Raw genomic sequence first — 20,423 nt, 5'->3', positions numbered from 1 at the left:
CAGCACTAACTGGGTTCCTGGAGGGCAGGTACTGACTCTGTTCAACTCTGTCCCCAGCACTTAGTAGGAAGCTTGGGACATAGTAGATGCTCAATAAATATTTACTGAAGTGAATTGAAAAATCTAGTAATCCAGAATGGCATGTTACTAGGGCATTCCAGTAGCCTAAGATTCAAATGCAAACCCCCACATTCAGCCACAATCTCTAAGGGCCCCATTCAGGCACAGGGCTCACCCACTGGGACGACAACCACCCACTGGGGATTTCAAGTTGAGGTTGTTAGAAGTGAGTGGAAGAGCATAGTATGGCTTAGTCCCTGCTTACCCAGGACTCCCTCTTAAGACTCCACTTTCATCTTCTATAAAATGAGAGTGATGATGCCAGCATTGCCCACCCAAAAGGGAGAGAACACAGCAAGGAAAGACCTAGAGTTTATCTGGTCCTACTATTCACACTGAGTTTGCTGAGAATGAACATGTGCATACACACACACACCCAACCACACATATATAGTCACAGACACACACATACACACACGCACACTACCCTTCATTTTATAGGTGGGAATGTGGAGGTCCAGTATGGGCAAGTGACCTGCTCAAGGTCACACAGCTGGTGAGTAGCACAACTGGGACTAGAACCAAGTCCTTTGGTTCCCAGACTACCAGTGAAGGGAGGACAAAGGATACATTAAACAGAAAAGTGCTTGAAAAACACAGAAGAGTGAAAAGTGGTGTGAGCCTAGCTCCAAGATCTGCAGAGACAAGAGGCCACAGGCCACAGTGGCTGATGCACCTGTCTCCTCCTCATTGCCTCTGGCTTCCCACCCATCCCCAGCCCCCACTCCCCACAGCCACCAGTGTCAGGATATGACTCATCCCATTCCCTGGAGCCCACGAAAGCCAATGTTGTTGGAAAGCACGGGCTTGAAGGCTGACAGACCTGGCTCTGTCTCAGTCCCAACAACACCTGGACCATTTTTTTGACCCCTCAGAGCCCTGCTTCCTCATCTGGTAACCAGGGTTACTACTCTCCATATACCTGGTTCTTGGGAAAATTCAATGAGACAAGGCAAGTTAAATACCTAGTGTTTGTAAACTTTAGTTCCTTCCTTTCCCTTCTTCCTTTGAAACCCTTTGTTTTATCCTCAGGCATGTCTTCCAAATAAAACAAAACTCCAATTCTGCAAGGCTTCTCAGATCCATGCAGTTGGAATTAATCTGGCTGTGTGTGTTTGGTTCCAGAACCAAATCCAGTTTGGCACACTGTGCCATCCTCTGCACACACCTGTCTGTCTCCCCCATGAGACCACGTGCACCCAAGAGGCAAGACCCAGCTCTCGGGGCCCTTGATAACGCTAGCCCTCGCCCATGGGAGATCTCGCAGATGACATGGGATTGCCTGCTTGCGCTGGGGCCCACGCGCTGACACAGCCGTACTCACCGCTTGTCAGAATCATTCGACCGCGGCCTGGAAGACTTGCACAATGGCCCACGGCACCCAGCAGGCGGTTTGAATCTGGATCCAGGGCAGCTGCCTGCTTTTAAGGGAGTGGAGCATGGCAGTAAAGCCAGCAGGCCGGGCAGCAAGAGACCTTGGTGGGGGCTGGGTGACCTTGAGCAAGACCTTCCCCTTCTGTTGGAGTCATAGTAAAGTTCCAAAATCTATAAATAAGACTAAAAATAATGCTAAATACTTTTCTGAGAAGAAACTAGGATGACCAGAGAGCTTTTTAAAGCTATACATTTCCTGCCCAAGATTCTTAACCCTTTTTCCCCCGAATAAGTGCATCTGAGGTGATGGGGAAGAGGCAGGGGTATTATTATGAGAAGGCTCCAGTGATAATTCTGATTAGCCATATCCCCGACAGCAACCCAATTATGCCCATCATTATACTGTTTACTACAAAAGCACAGGCCGTAGAGTCAGTCCTTGGGCAATTACTTAACCAGTCTGAGCTGGGTTCTTCCATCACAGAACAGAGAAAAGGCTTCATGTTGGACAGGGTTGCTGGGAGGAGGGAGCGAGCCGCTGCATGTAAACCACCCAGCAGGTCTGGCGCACAGTAGGTGTTCTATAAACGGCAGCCTCCTCCACCCTGCTCATCTGGGCAAAGTTTATGTCTCTATCAAGCAGTAAGCATCTAGGAAGGAAGGCTATGATCTTCTTTCTTGTCTCAGTCCTTTCAGGCTTCTGTAGCAAAATACCATAAACTGAGTGGCTTATGAACAACATAAATTTATTTCTCATGGCTCTGGAGGTTGGGAAGTCCAAGACCAGGGCACTGACGGATTTGGTGTCTGGTGATGGCCCACTTTCTGATTCACTGATGGGCCTTCTAGCTGCATCCTCACATGGTGGAAGACACAAGGGCCTCTCAGGGGTCTCTTTTATAAGTGAACTAATCCCATTCATGAGGCCTTAATCTTCATGATTTATCATAAAGGTGACTGGTTAATGACCAATCACCCCAAGGGCTCCACCTCTTAATAACTTTAGGGGTTAAGATTTCAACATGGATTTTGGAAGAACACAAACATTTTTCAACCATAGCACTTCTGCTTCTCATCTAAGCCTAAGCCACAGCCAATGGCTCAGGAATGGAAACATCACAAATATTTGAAAACCCTTTTGCATCTCACAAACATCCACTGTGTGATTGCCCTACACCAGGCCCCCCGGGTTACACAGAGAGGAGCAAGACCTGGCAGCACCCCTCAAGAGTCCTGGTCCAGGGAAAATGACTGATTCTCTGTCCACTTTGATTAGAAAGGATGACATTAGTCCTGTCTCATGGGTGCCCTAGGGAATTACTAACTAACTGGGGTCACGGTTAGTCAGAGAGACCCAGTTAATGACCAAGCAGTGCATCCTGAGCCGGCCTAGGAGCCCTGGGAGGTGGAGGATCATTTCTCTGGCTGTCCTGAACCTGAACTAAGCCATTACTCCTGCTTCAGCCAGGAAAGCCTGCTGTGGCACCCACAATGCCCTCACCTCTCTCCTCTCAGAGGCAGCATTGAGAAGCCCAGCTCCTGTACACAGCATCCCCACCATCCCACCCTCTCACATCCCAGTGCCTGGTAAACAGGACTCTGTGGGGAGCAAGCCCCCACCCCACCCGACTTCCACACACAGGAGCTTTGTCCCAGCTGCTGCTGCATAATACATGGGCGCAGGCCCGGACCAGCCTCGGGACCATCTTGGACAACAGGCCCGTCACTAAGAGGCTGTGAGGGGCACAGTCAGGACACAAAGCGCTCCAGTCAGAGCTGAGAGGAGCGGATAAAGGGCCCGCTGCAGCCCTGGAACCAGCCCCTCCCCCAGCACACAAGGCAGGAACGGAAAGGAAGCCGCTTCCCCAGAGGGCTCCCGGGAGTCCTGAAATCCTCCCAGGCACTTTCCAGCACAGCCTCCAGACACATCCTTGACCGTGAGGGCTCCGGGGCTTTCCTCTCATGACCCTCTAAAGTCATTCAGGAGCTCTCCTTGTCTTAGTCCCCATGTCTTTTCTTTAAAATAGTTTCTCCAGCAAGTTACTGACTTGGCAGGGTCTGGTATGCTCCTTTGTGTCTTAATGGTGGTTTCTAATCTTGGCTGGCCCGGAGGCTCCTCATCTACCCAAACTCATGCATTAGAGGGAAAACAATAAAGAAGAATAAGAGAGGGACATTATGAATCACCTCCCAGGTACTTCGTAAAAGAAGCGATGCACAATTTTATGTGATAATACGGCACCTTCCTTTTGCAATATATTTAAATAGAACAAATCCACTTGCAACTATCTCTATAGAAGCAGAATTGGGGACTTACATGTAACTCATTTAACAATAAAGATCTGGATGATTTGTTTCTGAACCACCCTGATAACACATTAAGATGTGTTCACAGGTTCTCCCTGGCACAGAGACATATATTCTAGGGACCACTCCCAGAGATTCTGATTCGGGAGGTCTGTGTGAGAACCCAAGAATCCGCATTTTAACAAGCACCCAAGAGATTCCAATGCAGGTGGTCCACTGATGACACCTTTAAGGCACGGTGATGATTGAAAAATTATGGGCTTCAAATATACAGATAGGTACCACACACTGGTGGCTAACTGAACAACCCACAACAAACTAAATCTATAATAAGGAAGCTAAACTCACAGCAATTTATAATTGAAAAGCAAAAATAGCAGCAGTTGGACACTGGAGCTAAGTCAAGATGACAATGAGAACAAAGTGTTCTTACTAAGACTTTCAGGAGTTTCAGCCATCTATACAGGTATACACAGTAGGAGCTTTGCCAAGGACTGCAAAGATGCCAGACCTCTTAGTAGAATATTGATTTCAAGGCCCTGAAAAACTCTTAGCGATGTGCTAATTTAGGTTTACAAATGCAATGGTTTGATAACCCCTGTTTAATTCAGGAGGATATCTGTAAGCAGCTTCTGGTTGTATATTAAAATAAAAGTCCATGGCATTGTGCGTCATTGGTTCTTAACAAGCCAAGGAAGTGCTTGCAATTCCAAATCTGTTCTCAATCCTTCAGGGAGAACCTTGCCAGCCACCAGGGGACTGAAGACTGGTCCTTCAAGCTTTGCCACATAGAGAGAAAGAAGGGAAGTTCTGAGAGGGTTGAAATGGGGAAGAAGTCAGGTTCAATCTATTTTGATGAACCCTAATTTGATAAGCCATTTTAATATGCCGCTTCTACCATCACACGGATTTTTGAAGCCCTGAAGCTCTGGGTTTGAAGATTTGTTTTTTGCAGAAATTGCTCATTTCCCGTTCTTCTATTCTGGATTCTGTTCTTCTATTCTCTCTCATAGTAATAGTCTCAGTTTTTATCAGGAAAAAAACTACATTTCCCAGGTGCCTTTGCAACCTAGTATGTGGTCATGCGATAAAGTGTTGGCCAACTGGGTGTAAGCTGGATGTAAGACTAAAGGCTGCTTCCATTACATGCCTCTTCTGGACCTCTCCAGAAAGACAGAAAGCAGCAGGTTTCTCTGAAGGGCCATCAGGAGTTTTGGTGAAGTGAGAGAGGGGAGTCCCATGTCATCCTGAACCTGGCTGTACTGATTCCCTGTGCAGTCCCATAGGAGTGAATGGCTCTGATGTCCTGGACCTGGGAAAGGAACTCCAGAAAGTTGTTCCAGGCCCTAAGGAAAAATGAGCCACAAGGAGCAAGGGAGCTGGGGTCAGTTACAAACCAGATACTGTCACCTTTCTCTCCCCAACTGCTGGGAACTCCCAAGCTACAGATTTGCAGAGCTGGTGGAATCCTAAAGATCTTCCTGCCCCATTCCCTCATTTGCAGAGGAGGAGACTGCGGCGTGAGGATCATGAGTTTCTTCATGTGAAGTCACGAGCTCATGGTCAGTTAGAGAGCAAGTTATCATCAGCAGACCAAGGTGTGAACTCAGATTGCCTGGCCCCATCCAGTTCAGTGCTCTTTCTAGACTTTGTGCTCCAACTGCTGAACAGCCATCTCCCTGGAACTCAAGGGTATGAAAAATCTTACCAAACAACCTCCTGTCAACCCAACAGCTCTCAGTTTTCCTGCTCTACCCCAGACCTCAGAGCACTCACTTCCACATCACCCATTCCAGTATTCCAGGACTCCTCTGCAGTGTTGGACATTTCTCATTCTCCTTTTCTCTGTCTCTCCTTTCTCTGCCCCTTCTCACGCACACCTCCTCTCACACATAAATGCAGTCATTCACTACTGATTTGTCCTTACGATCATCATTTCAAAGCCTATACACAAAGAATGCCACAGAAAATAAGAGCTTAATAAGTATAGTGCCCATCTTTATCCTTCCATATTCACATATTTACTTTTAGACCCTTTCAATGTGTACATGCATCTGCATCCAGAGCTTCTAAGATCCTCATTTGTTTTGTCTCATTTTATCTATTCCTGGGAATCTACTCCGATAAACAATGAGCAGTGTGGACACATTTCTCGTTCAGGGATGCTTCTTGAAAGTAGAAAGTTGAGGCCGGGTGCAGTGGCTCCTGCCTATAGCCTCTGCACTTTGGGCAGTGGAGGTGGGTGGATGGCTTGAGCCCAGGAGTTTGAGACCAGTCTGGGCAACATAGCAAGACCCAGTCTCTATGAAAAATACAAAAATTAGCCAGCATGGTGGTGCACACCTCTAGTCCCAGCTACTTGGGAGGCTGAGGTGGGAGGATCACTTGAGCCTGGGAGGTTGAGGCTGCAGTGAGCTGAGATCATGCCACTGCACACCAGCCTGGGTGACAGAGTAAGATCTTGTCTCAAAAAAAAAAAAAAGAAAAAAAGTGGAAAATTGGAAAAACCTAAATGTCTAACATAAGAGGCTAATAAAATATGTTTATGTTCATAAAATAAACTATTATATAGGCATAAAAATCATACTTTGAAGCACATTCCATATCTTAATAAATCTAATTCAATCAATTGTAGAACTGACCATTATTTTACATCCATCTAGGAAAAAGATGTAGTAATTAACTATGACATGCTTTCAGTTGAAGATATATCCAAACAGAGATAAAAAAAATTTGAAATATTACAATCAGTAAAATATGGTATAAATAATACAATGGGGAAACGCTCCTGATGCCATGTTGTAATATCAAAGGCAAAAGGTAGGAAATTGTCATATACAGTCATAGGGGAAAAAAAACAAACAAACAAGTGAAAGGAAAACACCCAATGCAAAGGGTGGTACCTTGGGAGGGTAGGGCAAAGTATGATTTCAAAATTTCATCTTTACACTTTTCTGATTTTTCAAATTTTCCAGAATGAACATGTATCATTTTTACAATCTGAAATAGACACTGTTATTTTTTAAAAATAAATACAAATGGATACAATGGAACAAGAGAATCATGGAGCGTGTTACTCCAGACTCTGCATTCTTCTTTTCCATCATCTCCAACATGCGTGTACATATAGAGAACTGGTTCCCACGAGTCATGCTCAGTGGCTCAGTGGTGGGGCGCATTTTCTCATGTTGATGAACTGAGGTTGGATTAGCTTAGCTGTTGTTCAGTACGTGAAATGTTTCCCAATTGTTTTGCTAACACAAACAAAGCTTTGTACAGAGTACTTCTTTCATTTTCCCCCTGGGATTCTTTCCTTGGCTGCGTCGAGGGTGTGGAATGGAAGGTGCTACCTGCCATCAGTTCTGGGTGTTAGTTCACATCTTTGTGAGTGGGAGTCAAGGGACAGTGAAGTGTCTAAGGTTCATTTCCACGCTGATGCTCTGTTTCTCTATGTGAATATTCTGGACTGGCCTGATGCCCTATTGGCCTCCCAAACCTGCCTCACAGAAACAGAAATTATTTGACTGGGCCTCAGAGTACCCTACTCTGCAAGGTGAGAAGCCATTTTAATAAGTGAAATCAACACATCAATGCCTTGGGAGTAACATATACTCAGGTATAGAAGCAGACATAGGATCTAGTCTGGGACTAGGTTTCTACAAATTTAAACGCGCAGGATGCTGGAGGAGGGGCTTTGTGATGGAAGGATGGGAGAACAGGAGGGGAGAGAGGATGTATGAGGGAGGGGATGTGAGCGAAAGAGCAAGGGGTCTGTTGTTCCTGGAACAAGGGGGTCTGGAGATCAGGGAGGAAGACAAGCCTGGGGCCAGGCAGCAAGGGGTCTTAGATGTTAAATTGGGGGGTATACAGGAAAAGGATGCATGCAGGGCCCAAGCCAGCCCCCAGCCCTTCACTAGGCCTTGAGGCAAGTGCAGCACTTCAGGGCAGGGAGTGGTTCAACCATTTGCTTTGTAAACGAGGCGAGGCGCTAGAGAACCTGTCTCGTCCTATGAAGTCCTAGCTCCTCTTCTGGGCGCATCCATTGACATTTAGTGAGGGCTGCTGACACTGGAACCAGAGGGCTGCAGGGTCCCTGAGGATAAGGCCCATTTCCCCGAGATCTCTGCATCGTTCAATGCCTACTACCTAAGAGGAGCTCAGCGATATTCACCTAGTTAATTCTGAATAACACATGGAATTGTCACCGCATCCATTTTCTCTCTATGCCTGAGTTTCTGGCCAGGTTTTATCAAGAGAAGGAGGGTGGGTAGAGGGGAGAGGCTGGTTGCACAATTACAGGGTCCCCTGGGGATGGGCTAGCTGGCCAATGTGGATGATTCATGCGGATTCCAGGTCAAGCTAGTGTACTGAACCAGACCGCTTCGTGCTCCCCTACCCCAGCCCACCCTGCCTGCCATCACAGTCAGTGACGCGGCTCACAGGCTGCTGTACAGCCCTCCAGTCCCAGGGCATGGGCTGACCCCAGCTCACCCCTGGAGAGCCAGAGCAACGGCCTTCCATCAGTAGCTTTCATGCCTTTGGTTAAGTCACAGGATGTCCTGGAAGAAGAATGGCAGTGAGGGAGCAGTGGGGAGGGGACAGCGGGCTCAGGCCTGGCAGTGGAAGGAGCTGGGAGACCAGCAGCAAAGAGGAGATGAAAACCCCATTTACTCCCCCAACTCCAAAAGAGATGTGGATTCGGGAGGGAAGGCCCCTGCCCTGGAGCTCAGACATTTCCCTTCCTTTTCCTCTCCACCCAAGTCTGGGACAGAGGCTCAATTCCTCACACCTAGATGCTTGATGTGGACCACAAACTGATGCCCTGCCCCAAAGCCTGCACAGCCACAGCCCTCTTCTTAAATACAGGCCCTGCTGGGAGAAATAAGATGGTCACTAACAGCCTGGTGTGACTCAGTTCACCAGATCCTCTTCTCCTTTGCTAGATAACGCTCAGACAGGGAACAATGAATGGGGCAGGACAAATTCTCTTGACAGCAAATGTGTCCCTTTCAGGTGACCATCCCCCCAACCACCACCACCACAATGCCCCATGCTCATGTTGCTCTTGTCACCTGCAATCCTTTTCCCTCTCCCTGCGTATCTGCCTAACCCAAATCCCAACCATCCCTGGAGGCCCAGTTCCAATGCTGCTCCTTCCTTCCTGGAACCCAGTGCACCGTGCAGGCACCCGGGGGCCCTGGCCTCAGCATTTCTCCAGTCATGTGGCTTCTAATTCCAAGTTGATTTCCTCTCTGCTGCACCTTGAGGATAGGGTCTGAGTTTGAGTGTTCATTCTCTTTCTGTCTCCTCTCTCTCTCTCTTCCTAGTACCCAGTGGGAGTTTTGGTAAGCACTTGTTGAACGGATGGATGGAGGCTGAAATAGCAAACACAGTGGAAGGGAATGATGATGCTGAGGATGAGAGTGCGGAATTTCAACTCCCCTCCTGGAGCCCCATAACTCTTCAAAGCCAGCTGTGGGAAGCCTGAGAAAGGGCATTCGGGAGTCTGGGCAGGGGAGGGGTGGAGAACAAAGCCATGAGGCTCCAACCATTCAGGATGCAGGAATGCTTGTTCATGGGGAGTTCCCTCCCTAGGAGAGGAGGAACTGGGAAGCAGAGGGGAGTATGTTCCCTGACCCACAGGTCTCTCATCATTCTCCAACAGATCCCTTCACTGCACAGAGCCAAGTCCTTGAAAAACAGAATGTCCCCCAACACACACACACGCACGCGTGCACACTCACACAGAGCAATACCAGGAAGTGGATGGGGGCTCCCTGAGGGAGAGGGCTGGGCTCCCAGCCAGTCAGTGGGTCAGCTTGGGCTGCCTGGCCTGGCCAGGGGAGTTGTCCTTCAGGCCGAAGTCCTCCAGGGGACCACAGTGTGGGGGAGGGAGAACTTGCCTTGCTGGCTTTTCTCCCAGGAGGCCTGGAAACTGTAACCACCAATGTTCGGGTCTGGGCTGGCCATGCGCAGCCAGCCACAGGAGGCCAAGCCCTGATCATGCCACCCTGGGCCCCTGCCTAGCTCTTCACAAAGGATGCCTGTGGGCCTGCAGTGGCCGTGCTCAGGCCCCCCATGTCTGGTTTGGGTTGCCTAAGTGCAAGGGAAGGAAACCTTGCCCCAGAGGTAGGTAGCAGGAAAGGTGGGATATGTTCTTTCACGTTGGTGGCATTTCACCAGTGTCAAAGGACATACGCCTCTGCAAAGCTGTGGTCTGGCAGCTGCAGCTGAGCCCATGTAGACCCCCTCACTCCCATTCACTCCCAAGGCCCTGTTTCATGAGGTGCTATGCCCAAGGGCATGTGATTTTGACAAGAAGATGATAAAGGCCCTGGGGTCTTGTCACATGGCATCTGTTCCTGGAGTCCTGGTCTGACCTCTCTTAGAAAGGAGTGAAAAATGAGAGCTAAGAGGGCATCTTTTTTTTTTTTTTTTTTGAGATAGGGTCTCACTCTGTCACCCAGGCTGGAGTGTAGTAACACAATCTTAGCTCACTGCAACCTCAAATTTCTGGGCTCAAGCAATCCTCTCACCTCAGCGTCCCAAGTAGCTGGGACCACAAGCACGCATCACTGCACCTGGCTGATTTTTAAATTTTTTGTAGAGATGGGTTCTCGCTATGTCACCCAGGCTGGTCTCAAACTCCTGGCTTCAAGAGATCCTGCCACCTCGGTCTCCTGAAGTGTTGGGATCACAGGCATGAGCCACCGTGCCTGGCCCAAAGAAGCTCTTTACAAAAAAGACTTTGAGGCAGGTTCCATGTCCTCTCCAGTGGAATCTGGGTGTGGAAGTGACCCTATGTGACTTCTGAGGCTAGGTCATAAGGGATCTTACATTCTTCCTTGTTTGTTGGAACACTTGCTCCTGGAGCCCCAAGTCATCATGTAAAATATCTGACTACTCTGAGGCGGCCATGCCATGAGGAAGCTCAAGCCATGTGGAGACACCATGTGTAGATGCTCCAGTCAACAGTCCCAGCCCAGTCCAGCCTTCAAGTCATCCCAGTCCAGGCACCAAACATGAGTGTGAAGGCACTTCCAGATGATTCTCAGATGTCACCCTAGTCATTTAGGTCTTCCTAGCAGAGACCCCAGACATGGTGGAACAGAGACAAACTATCCCCTCTGTGCCTGGCCCACAAAATCCTTGAGGCCCCTTGCTAACCCCTCCACCTACTTCAAAAGCCCAATATCTATCTCGAGCTTGGTGAGCCAGGGAGAAAACCAGGGGAGACTCAAGATGTTTGGAGAAGGCTCCTTCTTGTAGTGCCCTCCAGCTTTGGGTGTGAAGGCTCTGATCAGCTGGCTTGCCCCTTTCCTGGTTCCGAGTCAATCCACAGTCAATGGAGGATATATTGAGCACCTACGAAGTGCCTGCCCTGTGAAACAGCTCCAGGGGTCCCGTAATGTCTTCCATGTCCACCCCTCCATGCTCAAGAAACTCATCCTCTATCTGGGGCCATCAGAAGCTGACCAAAGATATCAGAGGAAACATAACTCCGTGTTCAGTTATGCTCTGGATTTTTCTGTGCCTGTCCCAGTTTCAAATACTCTGCCCCCACTCTACCCATGAGCTAGCAAAATATCCTCATCCTTTCAATGTTTCTGTATCCAAACTGTATTTTCTACACAGCCTCTTCCACTCAGAAGCAGCTCAAAAATTCTCTCAGGCCATGTGCCAGAATTTGGGGTATGGAAAATGTTTACTTTAAGGAAAGCGCCTGACCAACAACTGTACCATTCAGTGTAGCAGGACGGTACTTACATGTGCTATAAGTCATGCTGCCCACATGTAAGGCCCTATGCTGGGGAACACAGGGACCATGAGTGCAGTCCTAGATTCACTGGAATTATCCAGGGAGCTTGGAATAAATGCTGATGCCCAACCACAGCCCAGAGGCCATGATTCACTGGCCTGGAGGGATCTCCAGGTGATTCTAATATGCTTGCTTGGCTAAGCCCCACCACCCTAACTCCCTTTGCCTGAGGTCATTCATGCTTAGGGCTTTAAACACTATCTACAGGCTGATGGCTCCAAAATTCCCACTCCTGGTCTAGGCCTCTTTTTTGACCATTGGACCCTCCTTTTGGATTCTTGCAGTCACCTTTGACCTAACATGGTAGAGCTAAACTACTGGTCTTCTCCCCACCCCAATCTGCTTCTCTGCCACCATGACTTTCAGTAAACGAGGCTTCACCCACCCAGCTGCTCACCCTCAAAACCCAAGAGCCGGCCGGGCGCTGTGGCTCACTGCTATAATCCCAGCACTTTGGGAGGTCAAGGTGGGCGAATCACAAGTTCAGGAGTTTGAGACCTGCCTGACCAACATGGTGAAACCCCCGTCTCTACTAAAAATACAAAAATTAGCTGAGTGTGGTGGCGGGTGCCTGTAATCACAGATACTCAGGAGGCCAAGGCAGGAGAATTGCTTGAACCCGGGAGGTGGAGGTTGCAGTGAGCTGAGATATTGCGCCACTGCACTCCCGCCTGGGCGACACAGCGAGACTCCATCTCAAAAAAAAAAAAAAAAAAAAAAAAAAAAACCCAAGAGCCCTCTGTGACTCCTCCCAGCCCACTTCTAGGTCCTGTCCATTCTCCCTTCACTTTCCAGTCTTGAAGCATCTGTACTTTCCAAATAATTTTTACACAGTTACAATCATGATATGCATAAAACTTTATGTCCCACCTTTTTCACTTAGCACGAATATTTTCCCACACTGCCATATCATTTTGGTATTATAATTTTTAACGGCTGCAGAATATTCCATTGAATCAATGCTTCCTAATTTATTCAGCCAGTCTCATACCATTAGGCCTTTATTTTGTTCCCAATGTTTCATTGTTATAAATAATGCCGTGATGAGCATCTTGATGCATAGAGTTTTTCCCCGCCTTTGGATTATTTCCTTTGGACAGGTTCCCAGAAGCGGGATTACTAGGTCACAGGATATGGACATTTTTATGGCTTGTGGTGTCTGTTGCCAAATTGCTCTCCAAATGGGTGATCCCACTTTACTTTATGTGTCTTTGATAATGGCTTATACAACTTTGGACGACACTGCCATAGGACCCAGGACAGTGCTAAGCAGCTGGGAGATTGAAGTTTTTCTTTTCAAAACTTCTTTTTTTTTTTTTTTCCTTGAGACGGAGTCTCGCTCTGTTGCCCAGACTGGAGTGTAGTGGCATGATCTCAGCTCACCACAACCTCTGCCTCCCAGGTTCAAGCGATTCTCCTGCCTCAGTCTCCTGAGTAGCTGGGATTACAGGTGTGTGCCACCATGCCTGGCTAATTTTTGTGTTTTTAGTAGACACAGGGTTTCACTATGTTGGCCAGATTGGTCTTGAACTCCTGACCTCGTGATCAGCCCGCCTTGGCCTCCCAAAGTGCTGGAATTACAGGCGTGAGCCACCATGCCCAGCCTCAAAACTTCTTAACAGCTTGCTTAATTTTCTCCTAATTATTAAAGTAAAAAATGCACAATCTAGAAAGGCAAACAGAAAAGTATAACCATGTAAACAAACGCACCCATAATCCCATCTTTCCATAGGTTCTCAGAAGGTGTGATTTCTGATTGTTGGAATGCTGGGATGAGGAATTGGGGCTGAATTTACACAGAAGGGAGGTTTTTTTTTTTAAATCACAACTTATACATAGAGAGGACTCCAGCCTTTCCAGAGTGGTCCTCTGGGGAGGACACACACATATTCTAGCCATGCTGCTGAGATAAAGTCGCCTTTTAAAAAAAAAACCACACCTTTTTAATTTCCTGGTATGAAATTCTGCTTAGGACTGGCAAGGCATTCTTAGGGCTATCCTCAGTGATGGCAATCTTTGCCCTTGTTAATAGGGTTCCTCTCCTCAGCCATAATCCCAAATCATTCAGGAACACACTTGTTCTGCTCGTGGTAGGAAAGGCGGTTTGGGGGTGGGGGCTGACCATGAAGAATGGAACCAATTTCCTGATGGTAGAAGCTGCTACTGAGAGCTGCTCTCAGGAAGGTCCCAAAAACTCTGAGCAATGCTGGAGCCCTGGAGTATGCGTCAAGGGAAGGGGGTGCCCAGAGTGACAATACTGACAAGCGAACGTGATAAGAACGACGAGGGGCGGCTCATGCCTGTGGAGTGCTGACTGTGTGCCGGGCTCTGTGCCAAATGCTTTCTGTGTATGAAATACACTCAGTGCTCACAACGCTTCTATGGGGTAAGAATTTGGACCCCAGCAGTCTTGACTCCACAGCCTGGGCTCTTATGCTGAACCTCCTGGTGCACATGTTCTAGTATGAGCCTCTGAAGGAGACCAGCTGCCCTTCTGAATTCTACAACATGGCACTCTTCCCCATGTTCTGCCCCTTGAGCTCCAAACTCAGATCCAGCATCCCCTATGTATTAGCCTGCTCAGGCTGCCATAACAGAATGCCACAGGCTGGGGGCTTAAACAACAGATATTTATTTCGTACAGTTCTGGAGGCTGTAAGTCCAACATCAAGGTCCAGCAGGGTTGGTTTCTGGTGAGGCCTCTCTTCCTGGTTTGCAGACGGCCGTCTTCTTGCTGTGTCCTCTGTGCAGATGCGGAGAGAGTGAGCTCTCTGGTGTCTATTTTCTTATAAGGACACCAGTCCTACTGGGCCAGGGCTCTGCCTTTATGACCTCATTTACCCTGAATTATCTCTTTAAAGGCCCTGTCTCCAAACACACTGGGGGTTAGGGCTTCAACATATGAATTAGGGGGATACAATTCAGCCCACAGCACCATGTCACCCTAACTCTGCCCTAAACACATGGACTCCTTGACATCTGCTGATGACCTCGCACTGTTGCTGCAGTTTGTCCTCCACGAAGGCTCCTCTGTCTCAGGCCTCACACTAGTATGATTAGCAAGTGTGTTTTTTTAAGATAATAATTATTTGGAGGTTACAGGCCAACTTTCGCTCATCTGTGCATACCCTCCCATCCATCCACTCGTTCATTCATTCAATTCATTTATTTGTTTGACAACACAGTCATCCAGCAACTAGTTTAGTAAGCACCTACTGCGACCACGTACTGTGTTAGCCCTGGGACTTCCATGGCGTGTAAGACACAGTGGACAATTCTGCATCCTAATTCCAGCCAACCTACCCACTTCTCTCTCCATCTGTCTTACTCTCTCACCCCAGGCAACCAATGTCTCTCACCTCCTATCCTAACAGACCGTTGACAGACCCATCCTTGAGCAGGGGGCTCTTTGACACCTTCCTGCTCAGGGGAAACAGATGGTGTTAAGCCAGTGTGGAAGCTGTTTCTAGGCAAGGGATTGCAAAGCTGTGTGTCCACCCCCTGCCCCAAGAAAACAAAATTATATATATCCCAACCAGGGAAACACGTGTGCTTGCAAGATTCGTACAGGCAGTCCCTCTTTTCCCAGGAAACAGGCTTGCTTCCACGAGACATTTTTATTAGAAAACAGAGAGGAATTGCTTCTTAGTGTTCTCAGGAAGAAAGTGGGTGTTGCACATTGCACAGAACCTCCTTCACTGATGTAGAGAACTATGAAACTGGCAGTCACACCTCACATCTATCATCCCTACCTCAAGGGGGGGCAATAAACGGAAGGGAAACCCCAGAGCAGGCAGAGCTATGGGGGCTCCCACCAGCCAGGCTGATCAGAGCCCTGGGAACCGTGGAGGTTACAGCTGGATCCTGTTTAACATAGTACACGATAGGGAGAGGCGGTTAAAGACACAGCAAGAGCGCTTTTTGCTCATCTCTCTCTTAGTGACCTAAAATTTCCATATCAAAGTGAATTACAACATGTAGGTAAAACGTGTGTGTGTGTGTGTGTGTGTGTGTGTGTGTGTGTGTGTGTGATCAGCCCCTAATTTGGGCAGGACCAAATATCTCAATCATGGCAAAACCCTTCCTGTCTCCCAATTCTTCCCTTCCACAGCACCAAGAGTGTTTAAAAAAAATTATTTCTACTAATCAAAAAAATACATGTCAGAGTGGTCTTTTAAAACATAAACCTAGTGTCATTCCCCGGAATAAAGCCAGTCAGCAGTTCCCCCCACTCCCACTTCAGGACCAAGTCCGTGGTCCTTGCGAATGGGATTATGATGGCTGCTGTGATTTGAATGTGTCTCCACCAGAACTCAGACGGTGCCAATGTGATAGTATTCGAGGCAGATCCTTTCAGAGGTGATTAGGCCATGAGGGCTCCTCCCTGGTGAATGGGATTAAGGCATTTATTTAAAAAAAAAAAAAAAAAAGCCTTCCCATCGTGTTTGGCCTTCTGCCTTCTGCCTTCCGCCATGCTGGGACACAGTGATCCTCCCCCTCTGGAGGATGCAGCTCTTGCCAAACAAAAGAACTTGCTGATGACTTGATCTTGGACTTCCCAGGCTCCACGGCTATGAGAAATCAATTTCTGTTCTTTATAAATGGCTCAGGTGTTTTATTACAGCAGCACAGAGGGACTAAGACAATAGCCCTCCCAGGCCTGGGCCCTGCCCCAGCACCACTAAGCCCCAGCTGCACTCAACTTCTTTCTGCTCCTCAAAGCCCTCATTTCTTCTCCGGCCTTCGCACACACAGCCATTCCCTTGACCTCAGCCACGCTTCCTAGCTGTTCTCTTGGCCAAATCCTCCTCTTCCTTCACATCTCTGCTTCCAGGCCACCCCTGGGGCAGGCCTTCTGATGCCCCGACACTGTGTGGCTGCTGCTCCTCCAGGCCCCCACAGGCACCCTCATCCTAGCCCTCCTCGCACTGCACGCTCATGGCCGCAATCCCCACCTCACACCACTCTTGACTGTAAGCTCCGTGCAGGCTGAGGCCTCTGCCACACTTACCGTTTTATCCTCGGTGCCTACCGAAAGGCACAGCACCTGACAACGCTCAGAGGATGCTGGCTGAATGAGGCCCAGGGACGGGTGGAACCCTCAACCTCCCAGTGCTGCCAACCCCATCCTGTCCCCGCCTGCCGCCCTGGAGCCCAGCGGCAGTATCTCAACCATCTCTACATCCCAGGGCCTGGCACAGAGCTTGGCACTCAAGCCAAGAAATGTTCAAGAAACGTTTGCTGCACTAAGGGGAGAGGGTGTGGAGGAGCGAGGAGAGAATGCGGCTTTCTGGACAGCTTTTCCAATGGCTACCTCTACCTGTCAACCATTCACACACCCACAAAACCTGCATGCCACCCCATCCCCATCGAGGGAGGCACACACACCACAGGAGTGCCCCTGCCTTAAAGGCTGGCTAGGAGGTGTCCTCTCCCTTTTAATTAAAAGTCAGACAGGCAGCCTCCTCCCTACTCATTCCTCTCTCTCCGGTCATTTCTAGAAACCGAGAATCAGCAGGACAGCCGGGAAGGTGGTGTTGTGGTTGTGGGGAAATTGCTGGGTTTGCATCTCTCCCTCCTCACCTTCCTCCCACGCTTCTTGTCTCCCCGTGGGGGACCAGACTGAGGGGCTCAAGGGCCAGGAAGCTGGAGGCTGGGCCAGGGCTGTCCCATTTACTGTTTTCATTTCCTCAAATGTCCTTTTCTTCTCCACATCTTCCCCAAAGGCCTGGTTTTAGGGCATTCCCTCTTCCTTAGATAGGGAAGGCAAAGTGTCTGCCCACTGGTCGGCACCCATGGTCATAGTGGGCACAAGGGTATCTGAAGGCCCCAAAAGCCACATCCACAGAAAAGACCCCCCAGCCTGGGTCCGGGGGTGGGACGGAGTTCAGAGAGAGGCTGTTAACAAAGACCGCTTTGTCTTTCCGACTAAGTCCTACAGGTACCCAGGTCTAGGACCCCAGAGAGGAGGGCAGCGGTGGTTATCCATGCTGGAGGAGCTTGTCTGCTGGTGGGAAGGGAGCATAGTGTGTACTCAGGGAAGTCCACTCCTTGGCAGATTGTGCTGAAAAATGTCCCTGGCTCACAAACCAAGCACAGTGGCAGAATGGGGCTGGGAAAGATGCAAACATTGAGGAAGGCTTCCTGGAGGAGGTGACACTGGAGCCAGGCCTCCACGGAGGAGTGCAATTTTCACATTTTAGAAAGATTTGCAAAACAACAGCACTTAGGCTATTGGAATTTGATGTGCTGTGTGTGTGGTTTTTAGATGGAGGCTTGTTTGTTTGTTGAAGAAATCTTCAGCCAACAATAAGGCTGTGGGATCATCCATCTGCAAGTATCTTTTATCCCTGAAGCACTGAGACAGACTGGAGGCTACACACAGAAACTGTCTCTACTCCCTCTGCCAGCCCCAGGTCCCCTCTGGAGGGGGCCTACCCCAAGCAGCAGGGACAGCAGCAGCAGTCCACACCAAGGGGTGGGAGGGGCATGCCTCCTAGCCAGTCTCCAAGGACGCAGTTCATTATGATGCATCCTCGTTGCCATGGAGACCCCAGGCCCACAGAGCCTGGCTAATAGTCCCTGAATTCACTCAGGCCTCGAGCACAATTAGACAAGATTAATTTTTGAGTCACAGCATAATGAGACCCGGATGTCCGGAAAGCATGTGGCAGCCTCCCAGGGGAGGGGAGAGCCTGGGGAGGGCACACTACTGTCATGAGGTCACCAGGGCACTGCCTCTCTTGGGTGGAAGGTCTGAGGGGCAGTGGAGAGTGCATTCCCTCCTTTAGAATTCCTCAAGGGCAACCCAGATCTGTCTGGGCAGCGTGGGGGTGGGGCAATTGAAGAAAGGAAGAATAAGCTCCCTATATCCGTCTCAGGCCCTTGTGGGGACAGAGTTGGGTGGCTTTATTCTGCTCCCTCTGATGAATTTGCCAACGAATGCATCTTATATGGCTGAAGCTATGACGCATGCACAGAATAGATTCTTATATCCATGCAAAAAATATAAATACATCATTCAAAAACCTGTAATTGAACATCTATAGGGCCAGGCACAGCAGGAGCACCCAATGGGATCTGTGGCGCGACACGCTCCCTCCCACTCAGGGCATGGGGCTTGCCCTCTGGCAGGAGAGACAAGACATGTTCAGATATAACTATCTCATCAGAGCAGTGGCATGAGAAGGATAGAGTTTGGAGCAAGGAGAGATCAGAGAAGGCTCTGTGGAGGAGGTCGCACTTTGGGCTTTGAAAGCAGGAATCAGACTTTTCAAGTAGAGAGGGAGCAGAAAAGCAGAGGTTGAGTTTGGGGGCAGCAAGCCGACCAGTGTCTGGTTTGGGCAGGGGCCAAGGAGGTAAATGGTGGCCAGAGAGTGAAGGCTTTGAATGCCCAGCCAAGTGGTTTGGGCAGGGCCGAGCCAAAGGATGGGGCGACAGGCTCTAGGAATACAGGCTGGTGGATCCCCTAACCCCTAGCCTCACTCTCCTAGTCCAGACCAGCTCCAGACCCAGCTTGGGCCTGTTCCCAGGACAGACTCACAGCATGGCTGCCCCAGCTCCCATCCCCACCAGCTTCCCGCAAGCAGAGTCACTCTTCCAGGCCTCAGGAGAGTCTGGACAGAACAGAAACTTTCTTTTGGCAGCGTTTCTGTACAAACCCCCAGATTTCTAAACAAAGTCCAGTTAGCAGATCAGCTCCTTGGTGCCCAGCAAAGAGATGGGAAGGCACAGAGGAGAGCTAGGTTTGCGGTAGAATTAAAACTCCAAAGTGAGGAGCTGGGGAGAGTACGCTGCTGCAGAGGGGCGTTCAAGGCCAAGCGGGCTCCAGGGCAGGAATGGAGTCTGGAGACAGGCATGCTGGTGCTCACCAGGGACTGGCTTCTCTAGTCTAGGGTGTGAACTCCTTCTGGCTTCTCTCAGGTTGAGTCCTTTTTTAGAAAGCAGGCCTACTCTCTAGAGAAAATTGGACTGCTGCCCTTGGATCATTTTTTCCCCAGAAGGTTACTATTAGTAAAAATCACTGACCACGCAAAATAGAGAAGCAGAGACAGCAGAACTTCCCATTTATCTCCACCCCCTACCAAAGCACACGCTTACGTGCACACACACAGCAGTTCTAGGAGGGTTTAGCAATGCTAAAATCCTAAAACCCACATGGCCTGGGCCAGGAACCAGCTCAGTTCCCTGAGAGCCGGGACACCCCAATTCCAGCCAGACTGCCCGCCCTCTTCTCCAGGGGCTGCCTACAGAGCCCAGGGCACTGAGCTTCAGCCTCTGGGATCCGATTCTCTGAAACAGTGAAAATGCTCTCAGAGCCAAGTCTATGGAACAAGGTGGATGATCCAGGTGGTGGAGGGGGTCTGGATCTGAAGAAAAGGTGGAGAAATCAGCGCCACCTCTTTCTCCTGGGTTCTCCATCACTCTTGACTGTGTGGCCATGGTTCTCCACTGACTTCTAACTCATACCCACCCCCACAGACTCATCAACTTCCAAAACGTCACCCTGCATCCTGCCCTCCTCTCAGTCCTCACTGGATCCCCCTGGTCAGCTCAGGCCTCTCGCCTGGACCACCACAGTGGCCCCCTAATGGGTCAGATGCCTCCACACCAGCCAAGAGCAATGGGTCTAACTGTGCAGGCCACTGGGAGAGGGACAAGGATGGGAACCGCAGGCTGGACTTTTGCCCGAGGTTCCTCTCTGCCCTTGTTCACCACAGTAACCCTGGTGAAGCCTCTGAGCTCCATAGCAATGGAGGATTTTGTTCGTTTGGTCTTTTTTATTTTTTATTTATTTATTTTT

General features: G+C 49.3%; 1 protein-coding gene across 3 annotated transcripts in view, besides 4 other annotated features; it reads right to left on the bottom strand.

The window, feature by feature from the left end:
- The window catches only part of CORO2B (coronin 2B), a 209,434-nt gene that overhangs the window by 109,748 nt on the left and 79,263 nt on the right, over positions 1-20,423 (bottom strand). The window contains exon 1 of one of the 3 annotated variants that reach the window (NM_001190456.2): positions 1,445-1,520. The exons of the other annotated variants lie outside the window; for them this stretch is intronic. The gene's annotated coding sequence lies outside the window, so the exon portion shown is untranslated. Of the gene's footprint in view, positions 1-1,444; positions 1,521-20,423 lie in introns of those variants that run through there. 3 annotated transcript variants of the gene reach the window in all.
- Positions 3,208-3,723: an enhancer, noted in NCBI's record as "H3K27ac-H3K4me1 hESC enhancer chr15:68906675-68907190 (GRCh37/hg19 assembly coordinates)". NCBI's record gives its function as "activates a minimal SCP1, AML or CMV promoter by ChIP-STARR-seq in naive H9 embryonic stem cells {active_cell/tissue: H9 hESC(naive)}" and the evidence as "EXISTENCE:reporter gene assay evidence [ECO:0000049][PMID:30033119]".
- Positions 9,037-9,677: an enhancer, noted in NCBI's record as "H3K27ac-H3K4me1 hESC enhancer chr15:68900721-68901361 (GRCh37/hg19 assembly coordinates)". NCBI's record gives its function as "activates a minimal SCP1, AML or CMV promoter by ChIP-STARR-seq in naive H9 embryonic stem cells {active_cell/tissue: H9 hESC(naive)}" and the evidence as "EXISTENCE:reporter gene assay evidence [ECO:0000049][PMID:30033119]".
- Positions 16,032-16,591: an enhancer, noted in NCBI's record as "H3K4me1 hESC enhancer chr15:68893807-68894366 (GRCh37/hg19 assembly coordinates)". NCBI's record gives its function as "activates a minimal SCP1, AML or CMV promoter by ChIP-STARR-seq in naive H9 embryonic stem cells {active_cell/tissue: H9 hESC(naive)}" and the evidence as "EXISTENCE:reporter gene assay evidence [ECO:0000049][PMID:30033119]".
- Positions 17,796-18,375: an enhancer, noted in NCBI's record as "H3K4me1 hESC enhancer chr15:68892023-68892602 (GRCh37/hg19 assembly coordinates)". NCBI's record gives its function as "activates a minimal SCP1, AML or CMV promoter by ChIP-STARR-seq in naive H9 embryonic stem cells {active_cell/tissue: H9 hESC(naive)}" and the evidence as "EXISTENCE:reporter gene assay evidence [ECO:0000049][PMID:30033119]".

Source organism: Homo sapiens, chromosome 15 (assembly GCF_000001405.40).
Source record: "Homo sapiens chromosome 15, GRCh38.p14 Primary Assembly".
In the NCBI taxonomy this organism is placed as follows: Eukaryota; Metazoa; Chordata; class Mammalia; order Primates; family Hominidae; genus Homo; species Homo sapiens.
The sequence above is the reverse complement of the archived record's forward strand: the minus strand, read 5'-3'. Positions and strand labels throughout refer to the sequence as shown.